Source organism: Homo sapiens, chromosome 18 (assembly GCF_000001405.40).
Source record: "Homo sapiens chromosome 18, GRCh38.p14 Primary Assembly".
Lineage (NCBI taxonomy): Eukaryota > Metazoa > Chordata > Mammalia > Primates > Hominidae > Homo > Homo sapiens.
This window is the reverse complement of record NC_000018.10, coordinates 23,409,698-23,432,471: the sequence shown is the minus strand read 5'-3', so window position 1 is coordinate 23,432,471 and position 22,774 is coordinate 23,409,698. Positions and strand designations below refer to the sequence as shown.

Here is a 22,774-nt window from a genome sequence, read left to right as displayed (position 1 = left end):
TGACCTTGTGATCCTCCCGCCTCGGCTTCCCAAAGTGTTGGGATTACAGGCGTGAGCCACCGCGCATGGGGCTCCTTCTCTTTCCTCAAGAACCTCATTGCTAGGGCTTTGCTGTTCAATAGAATAGCATTTTGTCTGAGCAACACTTCTCAGTGATGTGAGGAATTGCGTTTCTTTTTTCTCTGTTCTTTAGCAAGGTGAGGCAAGAGCTTCAGGATCTTTGATTTCCTCCAGTATGTAGGCCAAAGCTAAGCACACAGTAAACTAAATATTTATTGTCATAATGAAGCTTGTTAAGGGCATTTCAGGCTGTGACTCAGATGCTCAGTTAATCCTTTCCTTTTCTCCATATAAGAATAAAAATATCAGAAAAGTAGGGAAGAGCATATTGAATTATGTAGTAAATAGATTTCAAGGAAGAAGAGGAAGTGTAGAACAACGCATAAGCAGTTAGCCATAATTGTGGCATTTAGGAGCTCAGACAAGGGGAATTCTGTGTGGACTAATCCCTGGGAAAAAAGTAGATATATAAACTTGCCCAGCACCAGTCCACTCCATTTTTTTAGAGCATGTGAAGGATCAGCAGAGTCCTTGCCTAAAGCCGTTTAATGGTTTTAGACTTAAAAAAGTAAATTCTACTTGGTCAATAATAGGAAAAAAATGGAAAAGATACCCAGAAGGATAAAACACAATTCCTTCACTCATAAAGTGCTGTAAATTCAATTAATATACATAAATATACATAAGAGAAATAGAAATTGACCTTAACTGAGTTGGTTTAAAAAAAGTCCGTAACATGCTAAAACACAGCAAAAACTATGACTCCTATGCAGAATTGGTTTGAAAAAATCATTTAATGCAAACAACATACAAAATCCTAAAATGCAGAATTAGTTTGAAAAAAAATCATTTAATACAAAAGACATACAAAACCCTAAAAATTGAAGGACAACAAAGGAAAGAAAGACTAGGAGGTGATTTTACTTGAAGAGAAACAAAGAAAGGATTGGATTTTTAGGTAAACTGGACCATAGATGAAGTGGATACCCTGAGAAAACAGACTGTGTCCAGGGACTTGTCTGAATGACTCTGGGGCTGCTACAGTTACAATGTGACATTTCTGACATCTGGGAAGGTGCTGAGTGTTCCAGCATCTATAACATCAGACCCAGCTGCTGTGCTTCCATGTTTGCTCATGATGCCAGCTCCATTTCACCAACTAAAAGGCAGCCAGGCTTCTGGTAGCCCTGGGAAAAAGTGGCTCAATCTCTTTTTTCTTTTCTTTTTCTTTACTTTTTTTTTTTTTTTTTTTTTTTTTGAGATATACTCTCACTTTGTTGCCCAGGCTGGAGTGCAGTGGCGTGATTTCTGCTCACTGCAACCTCTGCCTCCTAGGTTCAAGCGATTCTTCTGCCTCAGCCTCCTGAGTAACTGGGACTACATGTGCGCACCACCACGCCCAGCTAATGTTTGTATTTTTAATAGAGACGGGGTTTCACCATATTGGCCAGGCTGGTCTCGAACTCCTCACCTTGTGATCTGCCTGCCTCACCCTCCCAAAGTGCTGGGATTACAGGCATGAGCCACCGTGCCCAGCTGGCTCAATTTCTTTAGTATGACTTGGGAGGTCATTTGTTTGCCCAGTTTGTGATTTTGGTGGGAATAATGGCCTTTTTAAAACTTGAATTTACTTAGGTTATGTGGTTATGTTTTTTAATAGAAATGTCTTTGATTATATGGTTTGTCAGTTTTCTATCATTTGAAATGTCCAGTAATTTGGTGTTTGTTTTTCAGTATGTGCTGTCTGTCTTGAAATTTACCTACCCTACATTATTCCAAGGGTGAGTATCTTCTTTGCTCTTTATATACATTTTTAGGAAATGTCCAACCACCATCATTCTTTGAAATAGTTTTAATAACTGCATAGATTTTTTTTGTCAAATAGACATATTGTAAGATATTTAGCCGCCTTATTAACAGACATTTATGTTCTATTTTGGGGGTATGAAAACAATGTTACTAGACATTTTTGTGTTAAAGTCTGCCAGATCTCCAACTATTTCTTTGGGATTGATTCCTACATAAGAAATTTGGTTTAGGCTAGGCGTGGTGTCTCATTACTATAATACCAGCGCTTTGGGAGGCTGAGGCAAGAGGATTGTAGGAGGCCAGGAGTTCAGGACCAGTCTGGGCAACATAGCAAGACACTGTCTACAAAAAAAAAATAAAAAAGAAAACTGGCTAACCATATGCAGAAAAATGAAACTGGACCCCTTTGTCTCACCATATACAAAAATTAACTCAGGATGGATTAAAGACTTAAATGTAAGATCTCAAACTCTAAAAATCCAAGAAGAAAACCTAGGAAATACTTTTCTGGACACTGGCTTAGACAAAGAATTTATGGTAAGTCCTCAAAAGCAAATGCAACAAATACAAAAATTGACAATTGGGACCTTATTAAACTAAAGACTTTCTGAACAGCAAAAGAAACTATTAACAGAGTAAACAGACAGCCTACAGAATGGGAGAAAATATTTGCAAACTATGCATCCAACAGAGGACTAATATCCACAATCTATAAGGAACCTAAATAAATCAACAAGAAAAAAACTAAATAATTCCTTTAAAAGTGGGCAAAGTACACGAATAGACACTTCTCAAAACAAGACATGCAAGTGGCCAACATATGAAAAAGTGCTTAACATCACTAATCATCAGAGAAATGCAAATCAAAACCACAATGAGATACCACCTCATACCAGTCAGAATGGCTGTTATTAAAAAGTCAAAAAATGGCCGGTGTGGTGGCTCATGCCTGTAATCCCACCACTTTGGGAGGCCAAGGTGGGAGGATTACCTGAGGTCAGGAGTTCAAGATCAGCCTGACCAGCATGGCGAAACCCCATGTCTACTAAAAATACAAAAAAATTAGCCAGGCATAATGGCACATTCCTGTAATCCCAGCTACTTGGGATGCTGAGGCAGGAGAATGGCTTGAACCTGGGAGGCGGAGGTTGGAGTGAGCTGGAGGTTGGAGTGAGCTGAGATTGCACCGTTGTACTCCAGCCTGGGTAACAAGAGTGAAAATCCGTCTAAAAAAAAGGCAAAAAATAACATGTTGGCGAAGTTTTGGAAAAAAGGAAACGTTTATACACTGTTGGTAGGATTGTGAATTAGCTTAGCCCCTATGGAAAGCAGTTTGGAGACTTCTAAAAGAATGAAAAATAGAATTACCATTTGACCCAGCAATCCCATTACTGGGTATATACTCGAGGAAAATAAATTCTTCTACCAAAAATATACCTACACTCACGTGTATTTTATCACAGCACTATGCATAATAACAAAGACATGGAATCAACCTAGGTGCCCATCAACAGTGGATTGGATAAAGAAAATCTGGTGTATATATATACCATGGAATACTATGCAGCCGTAAAAAAGAGCACAATTATGTCCTTAGCAGCAGCATGGATGTAGCTGAAGGTCATTATCCTAAGTGAATTAACACAGAAAGAGAAAACCAAATACTGCATGTTTTTACTTATAAATGGCAGCTAAACATTGGGTACACATGGACATAAAGATGGAATAGTAGACACTGGGGATTCCCCAAGGGGAGAGTTAGGGAGAGAGGTAAGTAAGGATTGAAAAACTACCTATTAGGTACTGTGCTCACTGTTTGGGTGACAGGATCAATAGAGGCCCAAACCAGCATCACGCAATGTACCTGTGTAGCAAATCTGCACAAGCACCCCTTGAATCTTTAAAAAAAAAAAAAAAATTAGCTAGGCATGGTGACATGAACCTGTAGTCTCAGCTACTCAGGAGGTTGAGACAGGAGGATTGTTGGACCCTAAGAGTTAGAGGCTGCAGTGGGCTGTAATCATGCCACTGTACTCCAGCTTGGGTGACAAAGTGAGATCCTGTCTAAAAAACATAAAAATTAATAAATTTGGGTTAAAGTGCATGAACTTCTTTAGTATTCTCCTTGAATATTAACATATTCTTTTCCAAAAATGTTTTACCAATTGACATTGCCACTCAGCCTCTACGTGAATGTTTCTATAATATTGTACTCAAACTGTGATTCTCTTTGCTGATTTCATGAGCAAAAGGTATGTTGTTTTGTCGTATAATTTTTTAGATTATTCATCAAGGTGGACAATTTTCTTATGCATATGATCCACTTGTATCTCTTTTTTAGTGAATTGTCTAGTTGTGCCTTTTACCCATTTATTTTCATTGAGGTTTTAGTGTTTTTCTTATTAATTTAATAAATTCTTTTAATTTTTTTATTATTATACTTTAAGTTCTGGGGTACATGTGCACAATGTGCAGGTTTGTTACATATGTATACATGTGCCATGTTGGTGCGCTGTGCCCATTAACTCGTCATTTACATTAGGTGTATCTCCTAATGCTATCCCTCCCCTCTCCCCCCAACCCATGGCAGGCCCCTGTGTGTGATGTTTCCCACCCTGTGCCCAAGTGTTCTCATTGTTCAATTCCCACCTATGAGTGAGAACGTGTGGTGTTTGGTTTTCTGTCCTTGCGATAGTTTGCTCAGAATGATGGTTTCCAGCTTCATCCATGTCCCTACAAAGGACATGAACTCATCCTTTTTTATGGCTGCATAGTATTCCATGGTGTATATGTGCCACATTTTCTTAATCCAGTCTATCATTGGTGGACATTTGGGTTGGTTCCAAGTCTTTGCTATTGTGAATAGTGCCGCAATAAACATATGTGTGCATGTGTCTTTATAGCAGCGTGATTTATAATCCTTTGGGTATATACCCAGTAATGGGATTGCTGGGTCAAATGGTATTTCTAGTTCTGGATCCTTGAGGAGTCGCCACACTGTCTTCCACAATGGTTGAACTAGTTTACAGTCCCACCAACAGTGTAAAAGTGTTCCTATTTCTCCACATCCTCTCCAGCACCTGTTGTTTCCTGACTTTTTAATGATCGCCATTCTAACTGGTGTGAGATGGTATCTCATTGTGGTTTTGATTTGCATTTCTCTGATGGCCAGTGATGATGAGCATTTTTTCATGTGTCTGTTGGCTGCATAAATGTCTTCTTTTGAGAAGTGTCTGTTCATATCCTTTGCCCACTTTTTGATGGGGTTGTTTGATATTTTCTTGTAAATTTGTTGGAGTTCTTTGTAGATTCTGGATATTAGCCGTTTGTCAGATGGGTAGATTGTAAAAATTTTCTCCCATTCTGTGGGTTGCCTGTTCACTCTGATGGTAGGTTCTTTTGCTGTGCAGAAGCTCTTTAGTTTAATCAGATCCCATTTGTCAATTTTGGCTTTTGCTGCCATTGCTTGTGGTGTTTTAGTCATGAAGTCCTTGCCCATGCCTATGTCCTGAATGGTATTGCCTAGGTTTTCTTCTAGGGTTTCTGTGGTTTTAGGTCTAACATTTAAGTCTTTAATCCATCTTGAATTAATTTTTGTATAAGTTGTAAGGAAGGGATCCAGTTTCAGTTTTCTACATATGGCTAGCCAGTTTTCCCAGCACCATTTATTAAATAGGGAATCCTTTCCCCATTTCTTGTTTTTGTCAGGTTTGTCAAAGATCAAATGGTTGTAGATGTGTGGTATTATTTCTGGGGGCTCTGTTCTGTTCCATTGGTCTATATATCTGTTTTTGTACAAGTACCATGCTGTTTTGGTTACTGTAGCCTTGTAGTATAGTTTGAAGTCAGGTAGCATGATGCCTCCAGCTTTGTTCTTTTTGCTTAGGATTGTCTTGGCAATGTGGGATCTTTTTTGGTTCCATATGAACTTTAAAGTAGTTTTTTCCAATTCTGTGAAGAAAGTCATTGGTAGCTTGATGGGGATGGCATTGAATCTATAAATTACCTTGGGCTGTATGGCCATTTTCACGACATTGATTCTTCCTATCCATGAGCGTGGAATATTCTTCCATTTGTTTGTGTTCTCTTCTATTTTGTTGAGCAGTGGTTTGTAGTTCTCCTTGGAGAGGTCCTTCACATCCCTTGTAAGTTGGATTCCTAGGTATTTTATTCTCTTTGAAGCAATTGTGAATGGGAATTCACTCATGATTTGGCTCTCTTTTTGTCTGTTATTGGTGTATAGGAATTTAATAAATTCTTTATATTTTAAGGAGCTCAACCTGTTGTCCATCATGTTTTTGGAAATAATTTTTGCAATTTGTTCTTTGCCTTTTAATTTGTTTATAATTATTTTGATTATTTAAATATTTTTTATGTGGTCAAATATATTGATTGTTTCTTTCATGATTGCTTCCATTGCTTTTATGTTTTTTTCTTCTCCATCATAAAACCATTTAGATATTCACCTATATTTCATTAAAGCTTTATTCAAGTTTTAATCCTTGTCAGTTTAATTTAGTGTATGGTGCAATGTGAGGAAATTGTCCCTTCCCCAGTAGTTAACTAATTTATACTGGCCTCATTTATTCTATAATCCTTCCTTTTGCCTTATGCCCAAAGGCATAATCATCATTTAGATATTCACCTGTATTTCCTTAAAGCTTTATTCAAGCTTTAATTGTTGTCAGTTTAATTTAGTGTATGGTGCAATGTAAGGAAATTGTCCCTTCCCCAGTAGTTAACTAATTTATACTAGCCTCATTTATTGTATAATCCTTCCTTTGGCCTTATGTCCAAAGGTATAATAATCTGTATATGATTGTTAATATCATATACAGACTGTCCCAACTTAACGACGGTTGGACTTACAATTGTTTGACTGTACAATGGTGTGAAAGCAATATGCTTTCAGTAGAAACCATACTTCAGCTTTTGAGTTTTGCTCTTTCCCAGGCAGATATGCCCTACAATACTCTCTCCTGATGCTGGGCAGTAGCAGCAAGTGGTGAGCTGCAGCTCTCAGCCAGCCACACTAATATAAATGTTCTGAACATGTTTGTGGTAGGCGAGGCCAAGCTCTGGTGTTCAGTAGGTTATGTGTATTCAATGCTCTTTCAGTTATGACATTTTCAATGTATGATCAATTTGTTGGGATATAACCCCATTCTAAGTTGAAGAGCATCTGTATAAAGTCATTTTTTTGGCTGGGCACAGTGGCTCACACCTGTAATCTCAGCACTTTGGGAGGCCAAGGTGGGAGGATCTCTTGAGGCCAGGAGTTTGAGACCAGCTTGGCCAACATCATGAAACCCTGTCTCTACTAAAAATACAAAAATTAGCCAGGTGTGATGGTGAGCACCTGTAGTCCCTACTACTTGGGAGGCTGAAACACGCAAATTGCTTGAACCCAGGAAGTGGAGGTTGCAATGAACTGAGATCATGCCACTGCACTCCAATCTGGGCAACAGTGCGAGACTGTCCCAAAAATAAAAGATAAAAAATAATAAAGTCATTTTTCTAGGGTCTCTTTTTGGGTAAGTATTTGTCAATTTTGATGTTAAGGGACTAGTGCTGAATTGTTTTAATTATTAAACCATTTAAATATGTAGTAGAGCAAGCCATCCCTCATTCTTCTTTTAAAAAAATGTTTATTATATTATCACCACTTTGTTATTTCAGGTGAACTTTAAAATACTTTGTCAAGCTCCTCCCTAATATTTCATAGCAAACGTGTTTGTTTGTTTTTGTAGAGGCAGGCTCCCTCTCTGTCACCCAGGCTGGAGTACAGTGGCATGTACTCCATAGCTCTCTGCAGCTTTGAACTCCTGGCCTCAAGCGATCCTCCCAGGATTACAGGTGTGAGCCACTGTGCCCAGCCTCATAGCAAAAGTTTTAAAGTGTCTTCTGTGATTACGGGTATTTTAGTCAATAAAGCTGGGATACTGGTTTCTCTCTTACAGAGTAGCAAGCGTTTTTTTGGTTCTGGTTGTCTTTCCACATCTCTAAAGGTAGAGGGACTTAGCGAATGTGCATAGGAAAGGGTAATCTCTACGCTTGGATTGCCATTCTTTTCCCTGTCCTTGGTTGGATGAGACAGACTGAATGCACCTCCCCCATAGAATGTAAGATCTACAAAGGCAGGAATTTTGACTTACCCATTTTGTCACTGGAGTATTCCAAGTGCCTAGAACAATGCTTGGTGTCTGGTAGGGCAGAGTAACGTATTCTGCAGATGCCTGGGGTACATCAGTGAAGGAAACAGATCCCTGCCCTCATGGAGCTTGCTTTTTAAATTCCATCTGTTGCTTAAATTCACCTGCAGTGAATGGTTACCCTCCATTTAACTGCACAACTCAGAACCTGGGAGTGATTCTTGTTTCCTTTGTCTCCTTCATCTTCAACATCCAGTTAGCCACCAGGGCCTCCTAGACATCTTCAGCATCTGTCCACTTTCTTCATCCATCTTGCCCCTTTCTGGGCCATTGTCATCTCTCCAATTACTATAAAAACTCCTAACTTACTTCTTTACCCCTAGTCTTGCTTCTCTCAGTAACATTCCCTCCCTTGTAAAGAGAGGGAGCTTCCCCAAATGTAAATGCGACGTGTCACTCCCATGCCTGGAACCCTTCAGTGAGTCCCCAGTTTGAAGTCCCAGCTCCTTATGATTGACGTGGTCCTTCAGGATCAGCCCCTTCTCTCTAGGGTCAGCCCTTGCTGCCCCCTCTCCAGTGCTCCGGTGCTGGGGTCCAGACCAAATGAACTTCTCCAAGAAGCTTTGAATCAAGCCATTGTTGTTCTCACTTCTGGGCCTTTGTCCCTTCTGGGTCTTCTGCTTTGAACACACTTTGGGTTTTTGCTCAAATTTATTTTCTCTAGGAAGTCTTACCCACTCACTAGACTAGGTTAGTTGCCCTCAGTAGAGTGGCTTATAGTACCTGGTACACTTCCTTTTAGGGCTTCACACAGTTTCTTGTAATTATTGATTAATTACCTTACTTTCACTAGACCGGGGTTTCTCAACCTTGGAATGACATTCCAGCCACTGACATATTGAGTTGGATAATTCTTTGCAGCGGGGACTGCCCTGCACATTGTAGGATGTTCAGCAGCATCCCTGGCTTCTACTGGCTAGATTCCAGTGGCATACCTTCCGCTCCTCTCCCCCGGTTGTAACAACCAAACATTTCTCTAGACACTGCCAAATGCCCCCTGGAGGGGAAGATTGCCTGGTTGAGAATCACTGTACTGGACCAAACTGTTTGAAGGCAGGACCCACATTTGGTGTGTTCTGCTTGGCTGGGTCAGTGAAACTTCACACAGGATATGTGCAAACTGGGTGTTATAGGCTGAGCAGGTGTTCACTACAGACAAAGAGATGGGAAGAACATTATGGGGCAAGAGGATGGCACAACCAGACTCCTAGAAGTATGACATGGCCTGGCATGTTCCCAAGGCTGTGGGCCATCTGCTGTGGCTGGAATGTGGCTGCACATAGCAGACAGACAGGAGCTGACCGTGGAGAGGGGCGGGTGCAAGTCCCGAAGGACTTTATGTGTCACACCCAAGTGACTTGTCCTTTAGGCCAGAGTTCTCAACTGTAGTGTCGCAACACATGGGTGGGTTGTGGTCATAGTCACTTCTGAGGTGTGGTGTCTCAAGTCATTTATCATGAAAAACAGGGTTTTGACATTTATGAATGACTCAAGTAAAATGAAAAAGCAATTAGAGCAAGCAGCTGTCCCTCTCACTCATTTGGCATTCTGATGTGCTTTCTGCATTGGGGGGGGGAGGGGTGTTTGTGACCTGTGCTGCCCCTGCACTGTGCATGCTGGGGGCTGTGTGTCTCAGGTGAGCTTCATGACCCCGAATGTGTTGTTGACAGAAAAGAGGCTGAGGGTTGCTGCCTGTGGCAGCAGGAAGAATCATCTGTTTTTAAAACAAGCGAGTAGCTCAATTAAATTTGCATTTTAGGACAAACGCTTTGACTGCAAAGTAAAGAATGGATGGGGGGCAACCTTGGAGAGAGGGGGACCAGTTAAGGGACTAATGCTGTGAGCCAGGCATGAGATGATGAGAGCCTGAATTGAGACAGAGGCAGGAGGGTTGGTGGGGAAGACTTCAGATTTGAATGCTGTTATGGGGATAAATAAAATCAATAGGATATTGTGCTTAGACGAGGGAGGTGAAGGCCAAAGAGGTGAGGTGGAATGCCACCTAAGTTTCTGGTTTGGCTGATTGGGGATAGGGAGGATGATTTGAGGGAGAGGTTCGGGGTAATGATTTAGGCATGTTATCACTGGGAGCTTGGTAGGGAGGATGGGAGGGGGCTGAGGGTTGAAACGGTATCTATTGGGCACAAGGTATACTATTCAGTTGATGGACACTGGAAGCCCAAACCTCACCATTACTCACTATATCCATGTAACAAACCAGCATATATACCCCCAAATCTATGAATAAAAACAATAATAATAATCATTGAGAGCTTGTGGGAGATATTGTGGGAGATATTGTGGCAGTATCCAAGTGAGAACGGGGATTTGGGAATCATCAATGTAGAGGCAGTGGGAGAAGCAGTGGCTATGAGTGAGGCTGTTCAGGAAAAGTCTAGAATAAGAGGAGAAGAGGCCAGGCATGGTGGCTCAAGCCTATAATGCCAGCACTTTGGGAGGCCAAGGCAGGAGGATCATGAGGTCAGGAGATTGAGACCACCCTGGCTAACAGGGTAAAACCCTGTCTCTACTAAAAATACAAAAAAATTAGCCAGGCATGGTGGCACGCACCTGTAATCCCAGCTACTCAGGAGGCAGAGGCAGGAGAATCGCTTGAACCTGGGATGCGGAGGTTGCAGTGAGCCGAGATTGCAACATTGCACTCCAGCCTGGGCGACGGAGCGAAACTCCGTCTCAAAAAAAAAAAAAAAAAAAAGAGGAGAAGAATGTCAATGTCAGTACTTGCTGGACAGCTGGACTCAAGGAAATAGTAGAGATTGAGAAGGAAAGGTCTGAGAAATGGGATAATTGGGAGAGAGTAGGAGAAAAGAGTAGTAAATAGAGTTGAACTTGTCTCTTTGTGTCAGTCAGCAGATCTGCTGGGGCTGGATGGTGTTGGAGACTGTAGCACTCTATGAAATTCACATTGCCCCTTGTCCTTTCCAGGTGGCAGACGCTCATTGGTGGACTTTTGCTTCATGTGTCCTGGAAACTGGGCTGGGTAGAGATCAACAGCAGTTCAAGGTATAACCTCTCTATGCTGGACTCATGCATGATTCACACTCTGCTTGCTTTTGATATTATATAATTTCATATGGTGTTACACTGGAAGCACAGAGGTTTATTTATTTACTTATTTATTTATTTTTGAGACAGAGTCTCACTGTCTCCCAGGCTAGGGTGCAGTGGCATGATCTTGGCTCGCTGCAACCTCTGCTTCCCAGGTTCAAGCAATTCTCATGCCTCAGCCTCCTAAGTAGCTGGGATTACAGGCGTACACCACCATGCCCGGCTAATTTTTGTATTTTTAGTAGAGACGGGGTTTCACCATGTTGGCCAGGCTGGTCTCGAACTCCTGACCTCAAGTGATCCACCTGCCTTGACCTCCCAAAATGCTAGGATTACAGGCGTGAGCCACCATGCCCAGCCAAAACAGAGGTTTGTTTGATTTGTTTGATCTCTTAGTTCCCTTCTAACCGTGAGGTTTAGTGATTTTATTTTCAGATAAAATTCAAATAGTATTTTCCTGGGTAATAATGCCACTAATATAGTATTAACTGATACATTGATGTAGTGTGGGGAAAAAAGTTAATTGAGATATATATTTTATAATGTCAAATTAATTTTGCTTTGTTTTAGATCATAGGATATGATGAATGAAATTATATTAGCTTAAAATTTTTTTTTAGTAAATTTCTTATTTTAAATTATTTCTGGCTGGGCATGGTGGCTCATGCCTGTAATCCCAGCACTTTGGGAAACCAAGGCAGGAAGATCACTTGAACCCAAGAGTTTGAGACCAGCCTGGACAACATAGGGAGACCCCACCTCTACAAAAATAATAAGAAAAATATTAGCCAGGTGTGGTGCATGCCTGTGTTTCCTGCTACTTGGGAGACTGAGGTGGGAGGATCACCTCAGCCTGGGAGGTCAAGGCTGCAGTTTGCTGTGATTGCACCACAGCACTCTAGCCTGAGACACAGCAGAGACCCTGCCTCAAAAAAAATTCCTACCTATAGAAAAGTTAGAATAATACAATGAACTCCCCTACCCATTACTCAGATTTCATTATTATTATTATTATTTTGAGATGGAGTTTCGCTCTTGTTGCCCAGGCTGGAGTGCAATGGCGCAATCTCAGGTCACTGCAACTTCTGCCTCCTGGGTTCAAGCAATTCTCCTGCCTCAGCCTCTTGAGTAGCTGGGATTACAGGCATGCGCCACCACGCCTGGCTAATTTTGTATTTTTAGTAGAGACGGGGTTTCTCCGTGTTGGTCAGGCTGGTCTTGAACTCCCGACCTCAGGTGATCCATCCACCTTGGCCTCCCAAAGTGCTGGGATTACAGGCATGAACCACTGTGCCCGGCGATTCCCTTATTTTACCATGCTTTCCCTATCATTTTGTCTTGATGTACTGTACATGTATATATGTATATATGTATATGCATACATACGTATATAAATATATAAACTTTTTTTCCCTGAACTTTTTGAAAGTAAGTTGTAGATTTGACAGGAAATGTCTCTTTTCTTTACTTCTGAATTCTTTAGGGTGTATTTCCTAAGAGCAAGGACATTTTCTTAGAGGACTGCAGTAAAATTATCAAAATCTGGAGATATTAACATTGATACAATACTGTTATCTCATTTAAAGACCGTATTTTGCCAGTTATCTCGATGGTATGCTTTGTAGCCCTCTACTCCAAAATTCTAGTACGAGGTCCAATCCAGATCACACATTACATTAGTTGTTATGATTCTATTAAAACAGCCTTTTAAATATGTTTAAAAGAAATTTAGGCCAGGCACAGTGCTCATGCCTGTTATCCCAGCACTTTGGGAGGCCGAGACAGGTGGATCACTTGAGGTCAGGAGTTCGAGACCAGCCTGACCAATATGGTGAAACCCTGTCTCTACTAAAAATACACAATTAGCTGGGCGTGGTGGCACATACCTGTAATCCCAGCTACTTGAAAGGCTGAGGCAGGAGAATCGCTTGAACCCAGGAGGCGGAGGTTGCAGTGAGCCAAGATTGCGCCACTGCACTCCAGCCTGGGTTGTAAGAGCGAAACTCCGTCTCAAAAAAGAAAAAAAAGAAAAAAAAGAAATTTTAAAGACCATGACATTATCTAGCCAAAACTATAATCTGAACTGGTTATCTACTCCTGCCTCACCTAGATATCCTCCTAACTCTTTGAGAACATCCTTCCTATCCTGAAATGATGCACAAAGTGAAAAGAAAACTAAGCTAAGGTTAATATGAATAAAGTAAACATCCCAGCTGAATGAGCAGGCTAAGTCATTCACCTTGTGATGACTCTGCCCAGTTTCTCCGTTAATCAGATTAACTGCTTAATTTTTTTTTTCTTTTTTTTGGTTTTTGAGACAGAGTCTCGCTCTGTCACCCAGGCTGGAGTGCAGTGGCGCGATCTCAGCTCACTGCAAGCTCCGTCTCCCGGGTTCATGCCATTCTCCTGCCTCAGCCTCCCGAGTAGCTGGGACTACAGGCGCGTGCCACCATGCCCAGCTAATTTTTTGTATTTTTTAGTAGAGACGGGGTTTAACCACGTTAGCCAGGATGGTCTCAATCTCCTGATTCCGTGATCCACCCGCTTCGGCCTCCCAAAGTGCTGGGATTACAGGCTTGAGCCACCGTACCCGGCCAACTGCTTAATTGTTAAGTCACTCCTTTGGCACTCTGGAGAAGATTTGAGAATATATTCAGCATAATATTAATACTTTTGGCTCCTCTACCGGGTGTGGTGGCTCATGCCTGTAATCCCAGCACTTAGGGAGGCCGAGGCAGGAAGATCACTTGAGGTGACCAGCCTGGCCAACATGGTGAAGCCCCATCTCTACTAAAAATACAAAAATGAGCCCAGCATGGCTACTTGGGAGGCTGAGGCAGGAGAATTGCTTGAGCCAGGGAGGCAGAGGTTGCAGTGAGCCGAGATCACGCCACTGCACTCCAGCCTGGGTGACAGAGTGAGACCCTGTCTCAAAAAATAATAATAATAATAATAATAATAATAATAATAATTTTGGCTTCTCCTGAAAATTTAAAACTGGAGAGCAAAAAACTAGTATTAAGAAGTTTTATGAAGGAGAGATCCTGGGAACATAGGTGTACATTAATGTACCTGACCATGTTATATCATAATCCATATTCAGAAGGAATATTCCACACTGTATGCTTAGCTAATCCAAAGGAGAAGTTATTAAGTCACAATTTTGCATTTTCATGATATAGTATCCTTAATTGGATGAAATAAAGATATTTTTGGGATTTTATATGTTATACTAAGCACAAGTCTTACTAAATACTCCATTGTTATGGTGGATAGTTCAGTAAGAATTGGGCTTCATTTAAACAAATAGGGATACAGAATTCACAAGGCCTGAGATAGTTACAATATTGAAATACTGAAGGACCCTGGCTCCAAATGGGTAAACGTATTCCTTTGGAGAAGCAGGAGCTTGGGCCAGAATGAGGGAATTGGCTGTCACATTATAGCCTGGGGACCACTGGTGCAGATCAACATGAGTCTTCCTTGCTGATTCTAATTATCACATAATATCTGATGTAAATTATTTACTTATTAATAGTAGTCTTTAAAAAATTACCTTACTCATATTTTCTTAAAAGCAATGCCATTTTTCCCATGAAAAATTTTTTTGTTTATTGTGTTATTAATAAAATATGTATTACATAAGATTTACCATTTTAACCATTTTTTAAGTATACAATTCATTGGCATTGATTATAGTCACAATATTGTACAATCATCATAACTATTTTTGCCCAGAACTTTTTCATCATTCCAAACATAAACTCTGTACCCATTAAATGATATCTTCCCATTCTCCCCTCCCACTTGCTCCTAGTAACCCCTGTTCTGCTTTCTTTGTCTATGAATTTGCCTATTCTGGGTACCTTGTATAAATTGAGTTGTACAATATTTGTTCTTTGGTGTCTGACTTATTTTACTTAGCATTAATGTTTTCAAGTTTCATGCATGTTGTAGCATGAATCAGAATTTCATTCCTTGTGGAGGCTGAACAATGTCTACATGTACTCATCACATTTTGCTTATGCATTTATCTGTTGATAGAATTCTCCATACTTTTATTAATTTTTTTTTTTTTTTGAGGCAAGGTCTTGCTCTGTCGTCCAGGCTGGAGTGCAGTGGCTCAATCTTAGCTCACTGCAGCCTTGAACTTCTGGGCTCAAGCTATCCTCCCACCTCAGTTTCCCAAGTGACTGGGACTACACGTGTGCACTACCATGCCCAGCTAATTGTTTAATTTTCTGTAGAGATGGGGGTTTGCAATATTGCCCAGGCTGGTCTCTAACTCCTGACCTCAAGCAGTCCTCCCCTCTCAGCCTCCCAAAGTGCTGGGGTTACAGGCATGAGCCACTGTGCCCAGCCTTCTAATTGATGTTTTGAAGGGCAGCTAATGACTAGTAGAACTGGCCAAAGATTCTCAAGATTGCTTCCCTGCAAGAAGTTGTCCTTTGACTGTAGAAGTTTGAGACCCACTAGACATTTGTCCCTTGGACTTGACAGTGTGCTGCTAGGTTCTACGTATCTCGGAATATCTGTGATCACATCTTCTTTTCAGCTCCTAGCTAAACTCCACAGAAGTCTTTTCACCACTGTCTCCTGCAGGTGCATTCACAGCCACCCACAGCTCCATTAAACTTTTTGTCCAAGATCCCCATATCTGGGTTTTTGGTAGATCTTGTACCTGAGCTGGTACAGCTCAGGATTTCCAGTTCCCATGGCCCTTGGCAAAGGAGCGTTACCAGATGTTTAGCAGAAGGATCCAGCACCCACGTTCTTTCGTGTGTGCTGGGCTGGGTTTGTATTTGCTGTGGCTGCTCTTTCCTCCTGGGCTTTGTTTTCTGATTATGTCATTAGGGAAGTGAAGCCCAGCTTTACTGAGTAACTATGAATGCAGAGATGACAGAGGTTTGGCTCTTCTAAAAATGGAAATATCAGGAAGACAGTTTGGAGTCCCAGAGGTTACTATGGGGTGGGGATTGTAATGGTGGGGCTGGAGAGTGGGTCCTAAGTTAAGACTGGGCAGCATAGGCCATGGAGAACTCATTTAGATTGCCCTTCTAACCTGGAGCTCAAAGAGGCCCCCATTCCCTCTCAAATGTCAAATGAGCCTCAGAACCTGTTTTGCTCTTATCACACAAGCTGGAGGGCAATGGCACGATCTCGGCTCACTTCAACTTCTGCCTCCCGGGTTCAAGCAATTCTCCTGCCTTAGCTTCCTGAGTAGCTGAGATTACAGGCACCTACCACCATGCCCAGTTAATTTTTTTTGTATTTTTAGTGGAGATATGGTTTCACCGTGTTGGTCAGGCTGGTCTCGAACTCCTGACCTCAGGTGATCCACCTGCCTCGGCCTCCCAAAGTGCTGGGATTACAGGCATGAGCCACCATGCCCGGCCAACACATTTCTTATATTGCAAAGAGGCCATATCTCCTGTGCCTGCCAGTATTGGCTCTACATAGCAACCTTATGGGGTCATTCTCTTGTCTAGGTGTTTGCCTGGTGACTGGTTGTTGCCACCTAGTCTTGGATGATGCTCTTGGAACAGTCTGTCTTGGGACAGATAGCGCTGTTGTACAGCCATAAGCTTGTCAATACATGGCAGTTACTGCTGTTGCCAAGCCATTGCAGAACATTGAAGCAATTTTTCCAGCAGATGCTGAAATCCTTTGCTAAAGGCTTCCTGTATTTGCAAAAAGTGGTTCTAAAAGAACGTTGTGACCCGTTTTATCTGACTGGACATCTGTTAGCACCGTGAGACCATGGCATTCTTTTTTGGATTCTGGAACCATTGCAGAAGGCAGGCTCAGGTGTAATTTCATTGGAGACTTCAGATGCAGTCCTATAATTCCTGTATTGCCAGGCTACAGGTTTAAATAAAAACACTTTGAAAGTAATTTTTAACCTACTTGCCACTTTTCGTCTGTTATAAGTAAGAGAGCAAAGTTTGAACTCTCAAGCTTTCAAAGATGAGAAATTCTAAGTTAAAAATTTTATGCTACAATACCTTTGTGACCAGAAATTTATGAGATGAAACAGAAGCCCACATCCCTTAATTTTTCATCAAGAGTCTGTGCTGGAGAACCGTAACAAGTATCTTTGATAAAACCTCCAAATTAACTTAGCACTGTTTATAAAGAAATGAACAGTTAACCAATCATTTAGGGTCCAGATTGTATTTATTTAAAAAAATTTATTTATATATTTATTTAGAGACAGAGTCTTGCTCTGTTGCCCAGGCTTGAGTACAGTGGTGCAGTCATGGCTTACTGTAGCCTGCAACTCCTAGGTTTAAGAGATCCTCCTGCCTCAGCCTCCTGAGTAGCTGAAACTATAGGTGTGAGCCATCATGCTGGCTAATTTTTAAAACTTTTGTAGAGACAGCATCTCACTATGTTGCCCAGGTAGGTCTCAAACTCCTGGCCTCAAGCAGTCCTCCTGATGGCCTCTCAAAGTGCTGGGATTACAGGCATGAGCCACCATGCCTGGCCATACATTTTATTTATTTATTTTAGAGACAGGATCTTGCTATATTGTCCATGATGGCGTCAAACTCCTGGGCTCAGGTGATCCTCCCATCTGTTTCTGAAGTAGCTGGGACTACAGGTGTGTGCCATTGTGTCTGGCTGTACTTAAATTTTTTTTTTTTTTGAGATGGAGTTTCGCTCTGTCACCCAAGCTGGAGTGCAGTGGCGTGATCTTGGCTCATTGCAACCTCTGCCTGCGGGGTTCAAGCGACTCTCTTGCCTCAGCCCCCCGGGAAGCTGGGATTACAGGTGGGCACCACCACACCTGGCTTATTTTTCTACTTTTAGAAGAGACGAGATTTCGCCATGTTGGTCAGGCTGGTCTTGAACTCCTGACCTCAGGTGATCCACCCGCCTAGGCCTCCCAAAGTGCTGGGATTACAGGCATGAGCCACCGTGCCCTGCCCCAACTCTCTCTCTCTTTCTCTCTTTCCCCTTCCTGCCTGCCTGCCTGCCTGCCTGCCTTCCTTCCTTCCTTCCTTCCTTCCTTCCTTCCTTCCTCCTTTCCTTTTTCTTTTTCTTTTTTTTCTTTTCTTTCTTTTTGAGACAGAGTCTCACTCTGTTGCTCAGGCTGGAGTGCAGTGGCTTGATCTCAGCTCACTGCAACCTCTGCTGCCCTGTTCAAGCGATTCTCCTGCCTCAGCCTCTTGGGTAGCTGGGGTTACAGGCTCCTGCCACCATGCCCGGCTAATTTTTGTATTTTCAGTAGAGACGGGGTTTCGCCATCTTGGCCAGGCTGGTCTGGAACTCCTGACCTCATGATCCACCTGCCTCGGCCTCCCAAAGTGCTGGGATTACAGGCGTGAGCCACCGCGCCCAGCCCTCTTTTTTTTTTTTTTTAATTTTTTTTTTTGAGGCGGAGCCTCCCTCTGTCGCCCAGGCTGAAGTGCAGTGGGATGGTCTTGGCTCACTGCAAGCTCCGCCTCCCAGGTTCAAGCACTTCTCCCGCCTCAGTCTCCCAAGTAGCTGGGGCTACAGGCGTGCATCACCATGCCTGGCTAATTTTTTATTTTTATTTTTATTTTTTTATTTTTAGTAGAGACAGGGTTTCACCGTGTTGGCCAGGCTGGTCTCGAACTCCTGACCTCAGGTGATCTACCCACCTCAGCCTCCCAAAGTACTGGGATTACAGGTGTGAGCCACCATGCCTGGCCAACTCTATTTCTTAATACTAACATTGCCTCTGTTCTGTGCTTTTCCTGCAGTCCATCTCCTGAGGCTCACTCAGCGACACATCTAGCCTTGGTCCTCCCAGGAAGGGGTGAGGTAGATAAGGTGGTGCTGGAGGAGGCAACTGCCCTTACAGTGGAGGGTACAGGGTAACAGCCCCTAACACTGCGGCAGGGTCAAAACCTGACCACCTGGTGGGGAAGGAGAGCAGTGGCCTTTCAAACACTGTGGTGTTGGGAGCTGTAGACTGGTTTCTTTGAAGCTCTTATTGGGCTTTAGGGATTGTCAGAACCTTACTGAAGATGACAAGATTTCCATTTCAGCATAAACTAGATTACATGTTGAGAATCTTGGATCAGAAAAAAAATGAAACATGAAGTGGGAAGAAGTGATGATTCTGCATGATCAGAGAGCTGGGAAGAACCAGTGATGAAAGTGCCTTGAGAAATGGAGCTTGAGGCTGGGCACGGTGGCTCACGCCTGTAATCCCAACACTCTGGGAGTCTGAGGCAGGAAGATTGCTTGAGCCCAGAAGTTTGAGACCAACCTGGGCAACATAGTGAGACCCCATCTCTTTAAACAAAACAAAAAAAAAGAACTTTACGGAAACCCAGTGGTCACATGGTCCTTTGTGTATAGCCCAGGGCACTGTCTAGTGTGTGAAGCCTTGAGCATCTCAGCTAGTAAGGTCCAGAGGTTGGGACTCAGACTGCCTTATTCTAAATTGGGCCAACAGATGTGCCAGGAGTAAATATGTTAGCCTTGTGGGCTCTTCTATCTCTGTTGCAGCTACTCAGCTCTGCTGTTAGAGCATAGAAATAGCAACAGACAATACATAAACGGTTGGGTGTGACAGTGTGCCGATAAAATGCTATTTTCAGAAACAGGCAGCAGGTGGGGTTTGGTCTATGGGCCATAGTTCTTTGACTCCATCTCTAAATTATGCTCTGTGAGAAACTGTCATCACAGGACTCTTGGGTTCAAGAAATATTAGGGCTGGACTTCGTCAAGGGAATGTGATCCTCTCTGAGTCAGGAGGAAGAGTGAAGAATGAAAGAGAAAAGTCTAAGGAAAGTGAGAAGAAGGGAGAAAGGGGGCAGTAAGACTGACAAGCATAGTCACCAGTAGTGGACCAAAAAAAAAGAAAAAGAAAAAGAAATCTAGGGGTCTTCTATAATTAGTGATGTAATATGCAGAAATCCTTTCCAACTTTAAAGAAAATACTGACTTTACATTTGTAAGGTATTAGTATTTTAGGCAATTCCAGTAGTCAACATGAACCTTGGTTTCTTTTTGTTTGTTTGTTTTTTGAGACAGAGTCTTGCTCTGTTGTCCAGGCTAGAGTGCAGTGGCATGATCTTGGCTCTGCAACCTCCACCTCCTGGGTTCAAGGGATCCTCCTGCCTCAGCCTCCCAAGTAGCTGGGATTACAGGTGCATGCCACCATGCCTGGCTAATTTCGTATTTTTAGTAGAGACAGGATTTCACCATGTTGGCCAGGCTGACCTCGAACTCCTGACCTCAAGTGATCCTCCCGCCTCGGCCTCCCAAAATGTTAGGATTACAGGCGTAAGCCACCATGCCTGGCCTCTTGCTGTTTTATTTTCATGTTTGGAAACTATTTTTTGGTCCACTAGGTGTCAGTGTAACATAGAATTTTCAAAAATTCAGCTTCAGGAGCCTTTTCAGCACCCATGAAGAGCTAAACTGCAAATTGTTTTCAGGGAGTAGATGTTCTCTCAATAATGCATGCTCTATTTGAAAAACAAATAATTTAATTTAATTAGCCTTCATCTCAATAACGACAGTTTTGTAAACCGTGCCAACAGACTTTTGTTAGCTTCTTATAAAATGCTTTGTTCATCAGGGTTCTTAGGGATGACAGAGTGTGTATGGAAACAAAAAACAGGCCCATGATTCAAACAAGATGCAGTATTTGTGCTTATAAATAGTTAAGAAAGATCATCTATTACCACAGTTTTCAAATTAGACCCCTTGGCAAATAGTCCTTCAACATGGTAAGGTCTGCAGTCTTTGTGGCTAGGAGTTGCTGGGAGACCCTACAGCACACACCTTTCTTTCTTTCTTTCTTTCTTTCTTTCTTTCTTTCTTTCTTTCTTTCTTTCTTTCTTTCTTTCTTTCTATCTCTTTCTTTCTTTTTTCTTTCTTTCTTTATCCTTCTTTTTCTGTCTGTCTTTCTTTCTTCTTTCTCTCTCCATTCCCTTCTCTCTGCCTTCCCTTCTCTCTCCCTTCTCTTCTCTCCCTTCCCTTCTCTCCCTTCTCTTCCCTTTCCCTTCCCTTCTCTTCCCTTTCCCTTCCCTCCTCTTCCCTTTCCCCTCCCTTCTCTCTCCCTTCCCTTCTCTCTCCCTGCCCTTCCCTTCCCTTCCCCTTCCCTTCCCTCCCCTCCCCTCTCTTTCTTTCCTTCCTTCTCTTTCTCTCCTTCCTTCCTTCCCTCCTTCCCTCCTTCCCTCCTTCCTTCCTTCCTTCCTTCTTTCTTCTGTAGCTCAGTATCTCCCTAGAGGCCCGCACACCACAGAGACCTGAGATCCCACCAGGACCATCTCAGGATTTAATTCCATCTTGCCTCCTTTGTGGGCCAGCAGGACAATGAAAGAATAAACCAGCACAGGAGGCCCAGATGGCACCAGCTGAAGAATTAGAGGTGGGGAATTGTTGCATTAGTTGCATGTGCCTAGTTTGTTCCTAATGTTCAGGCCTCTGGCTATCCTAGAATCAGACAGCATTAGATCTGTAAAGGAGGGCAGGTCATTACAACCTCTCTGGAAGGTGATTTGGTACCCAGTTATGAACTTTTTTCTTTTTGTTTTTGAGATGGAGTCTCACTTGTGTCGCCCAGGCTGGAGTGCAGTGGTGCGATCTTGGCCCACTGTAGCCTCTGCCTCTCAGGTTCAAGCAATTATCGTGCCTCAGTCTCCCGAGTAGCTGGCACTACAGGCGCCCGCCATGATGCCCGGCTACTTTTTGTATTTTTAGGGGTTTCACCATGTTGTCTAGGCTCGTCTTGAACTCCTGACCTCAGGTGATCTGCCCGTCTCAGCCTCCCAAAGTGCTGGGATTACAGGCGTGAGCCACTACGCCCAGCCCCCAGCCCCCAGTTACGAACTTTAATGCACCTTTTTTTTTTTTTTGAGACAGAGTCTCGCTCTTTTGCCCAGGCTGGAGTGCAGTAGCGTGATCTCGGCTCACTGCAAGCTCTGCCTCCCGGGTTCATGCCATTCTCCTGCCTCAGCCTCCCAGAGTAGCTGGGACTACAGGCGCCCACCACCGCACCCGGATAATTTTTTGTATTTTTAGTAGAGATAGGGTTTCACTGTGTTAGCCAGGATGGTCTCGATCTGACCTCGTGATCCGCCCACCTCGGCCTCCCAAAGTGCTGGGATTATAGGCCTGAGCCACCGCGCCCGGCCTAATGCACATATCTTTTAATAGCATTTCCACTTCAGGGAATTTATCCTACATATCGCAAAAACACCATGATATGAGACAAGAATACAGTTGACCCTTGGTATATGTGGGGGACTGCTTCTAGGTTCCCTCTCATAACCAGATTTCCAGGTGCTTAAGTTCCTGATATAAAACAGCACAGTATTTGCACATAACCTACACATGTCATCCCATATACGTTAAATCATCTCTAGATTACAACGTAAATGCTACGTCAGTAGTAGTTACGCTGTATTGTTTAGAGAATAATGGCAAGAGAAAGGTCTGTCTATGTTCAATACAGATACAACCATCCTCTTTTTTTTTTTTTTTTTTTAAGAGACGGAGTCTTGCTCTGTCGCCCAGGCTGGAGTGCAATGGTGCGATCTCGGCTCACTGCAGCCTCCACCTCCTGGGTTCAATCCATTCTCCTGCCTCAGCTTCCCAAGTAGCCGGGACTACAAGCATGTGCCACCATGCCCAGC

General features: G+C 42.7%; 1 protein-coding gene across 23 annotated transcripts in view, besides 1 other annotated feature; it reads left to right on the top strand.

The window, feature by feature from the left end:
- The window catches only part of SLC35D4 (solute carrier family 35 member D4), a 199,440-nt gene that overhangs the window by 5,490 nt on the left and 171,176 nt on the right, over positions 1 to 22,774 (top strand). For 15 of the 23 annotated variants that reach the window (NR_148385.2, NR_134875.2, NR_134877.2 and 12 more), the window contains exons 2-3: positions 1,795 to 1,841; positions 11,028 to 11,105. The exons of 2 other annotated variants lie outside the window; for them this stretch is intronic. Coding sequence is in view for 12 of the 21 variants with exons in the window: in XM_047437896.1 (XP_047293852.1) it covers positions 1,795 to 1,841; positions 11,028 to 11,105 (125 nt within the window). In the remaining 9 variants the exon portion in view is untranslated. The remainder of the gene's footprint in view (positions 1 to 1,794; positions 1,842 to 11,027; positions 11,106 to 22,774) is intronic. 6 more of the 23 variants (XR_001753290.3, NR_148384.2, NR_148383.2 and 3 more) reach the window with 2 other exon arrangements.
- Positions 9,271 to 9,410: an enhancer, noted in NCBI's record as "active region_13155". NCBI's record gives its function as "activates an Ori minimal core promoter by ATAC-STARR-seq in GM12878 lymphoblastoid cells {active_cell/tissue: GM12878}" and the evidence as "EXISTENCE:reporter gene assay evidence [ECO:0000049][PMID:35858748]".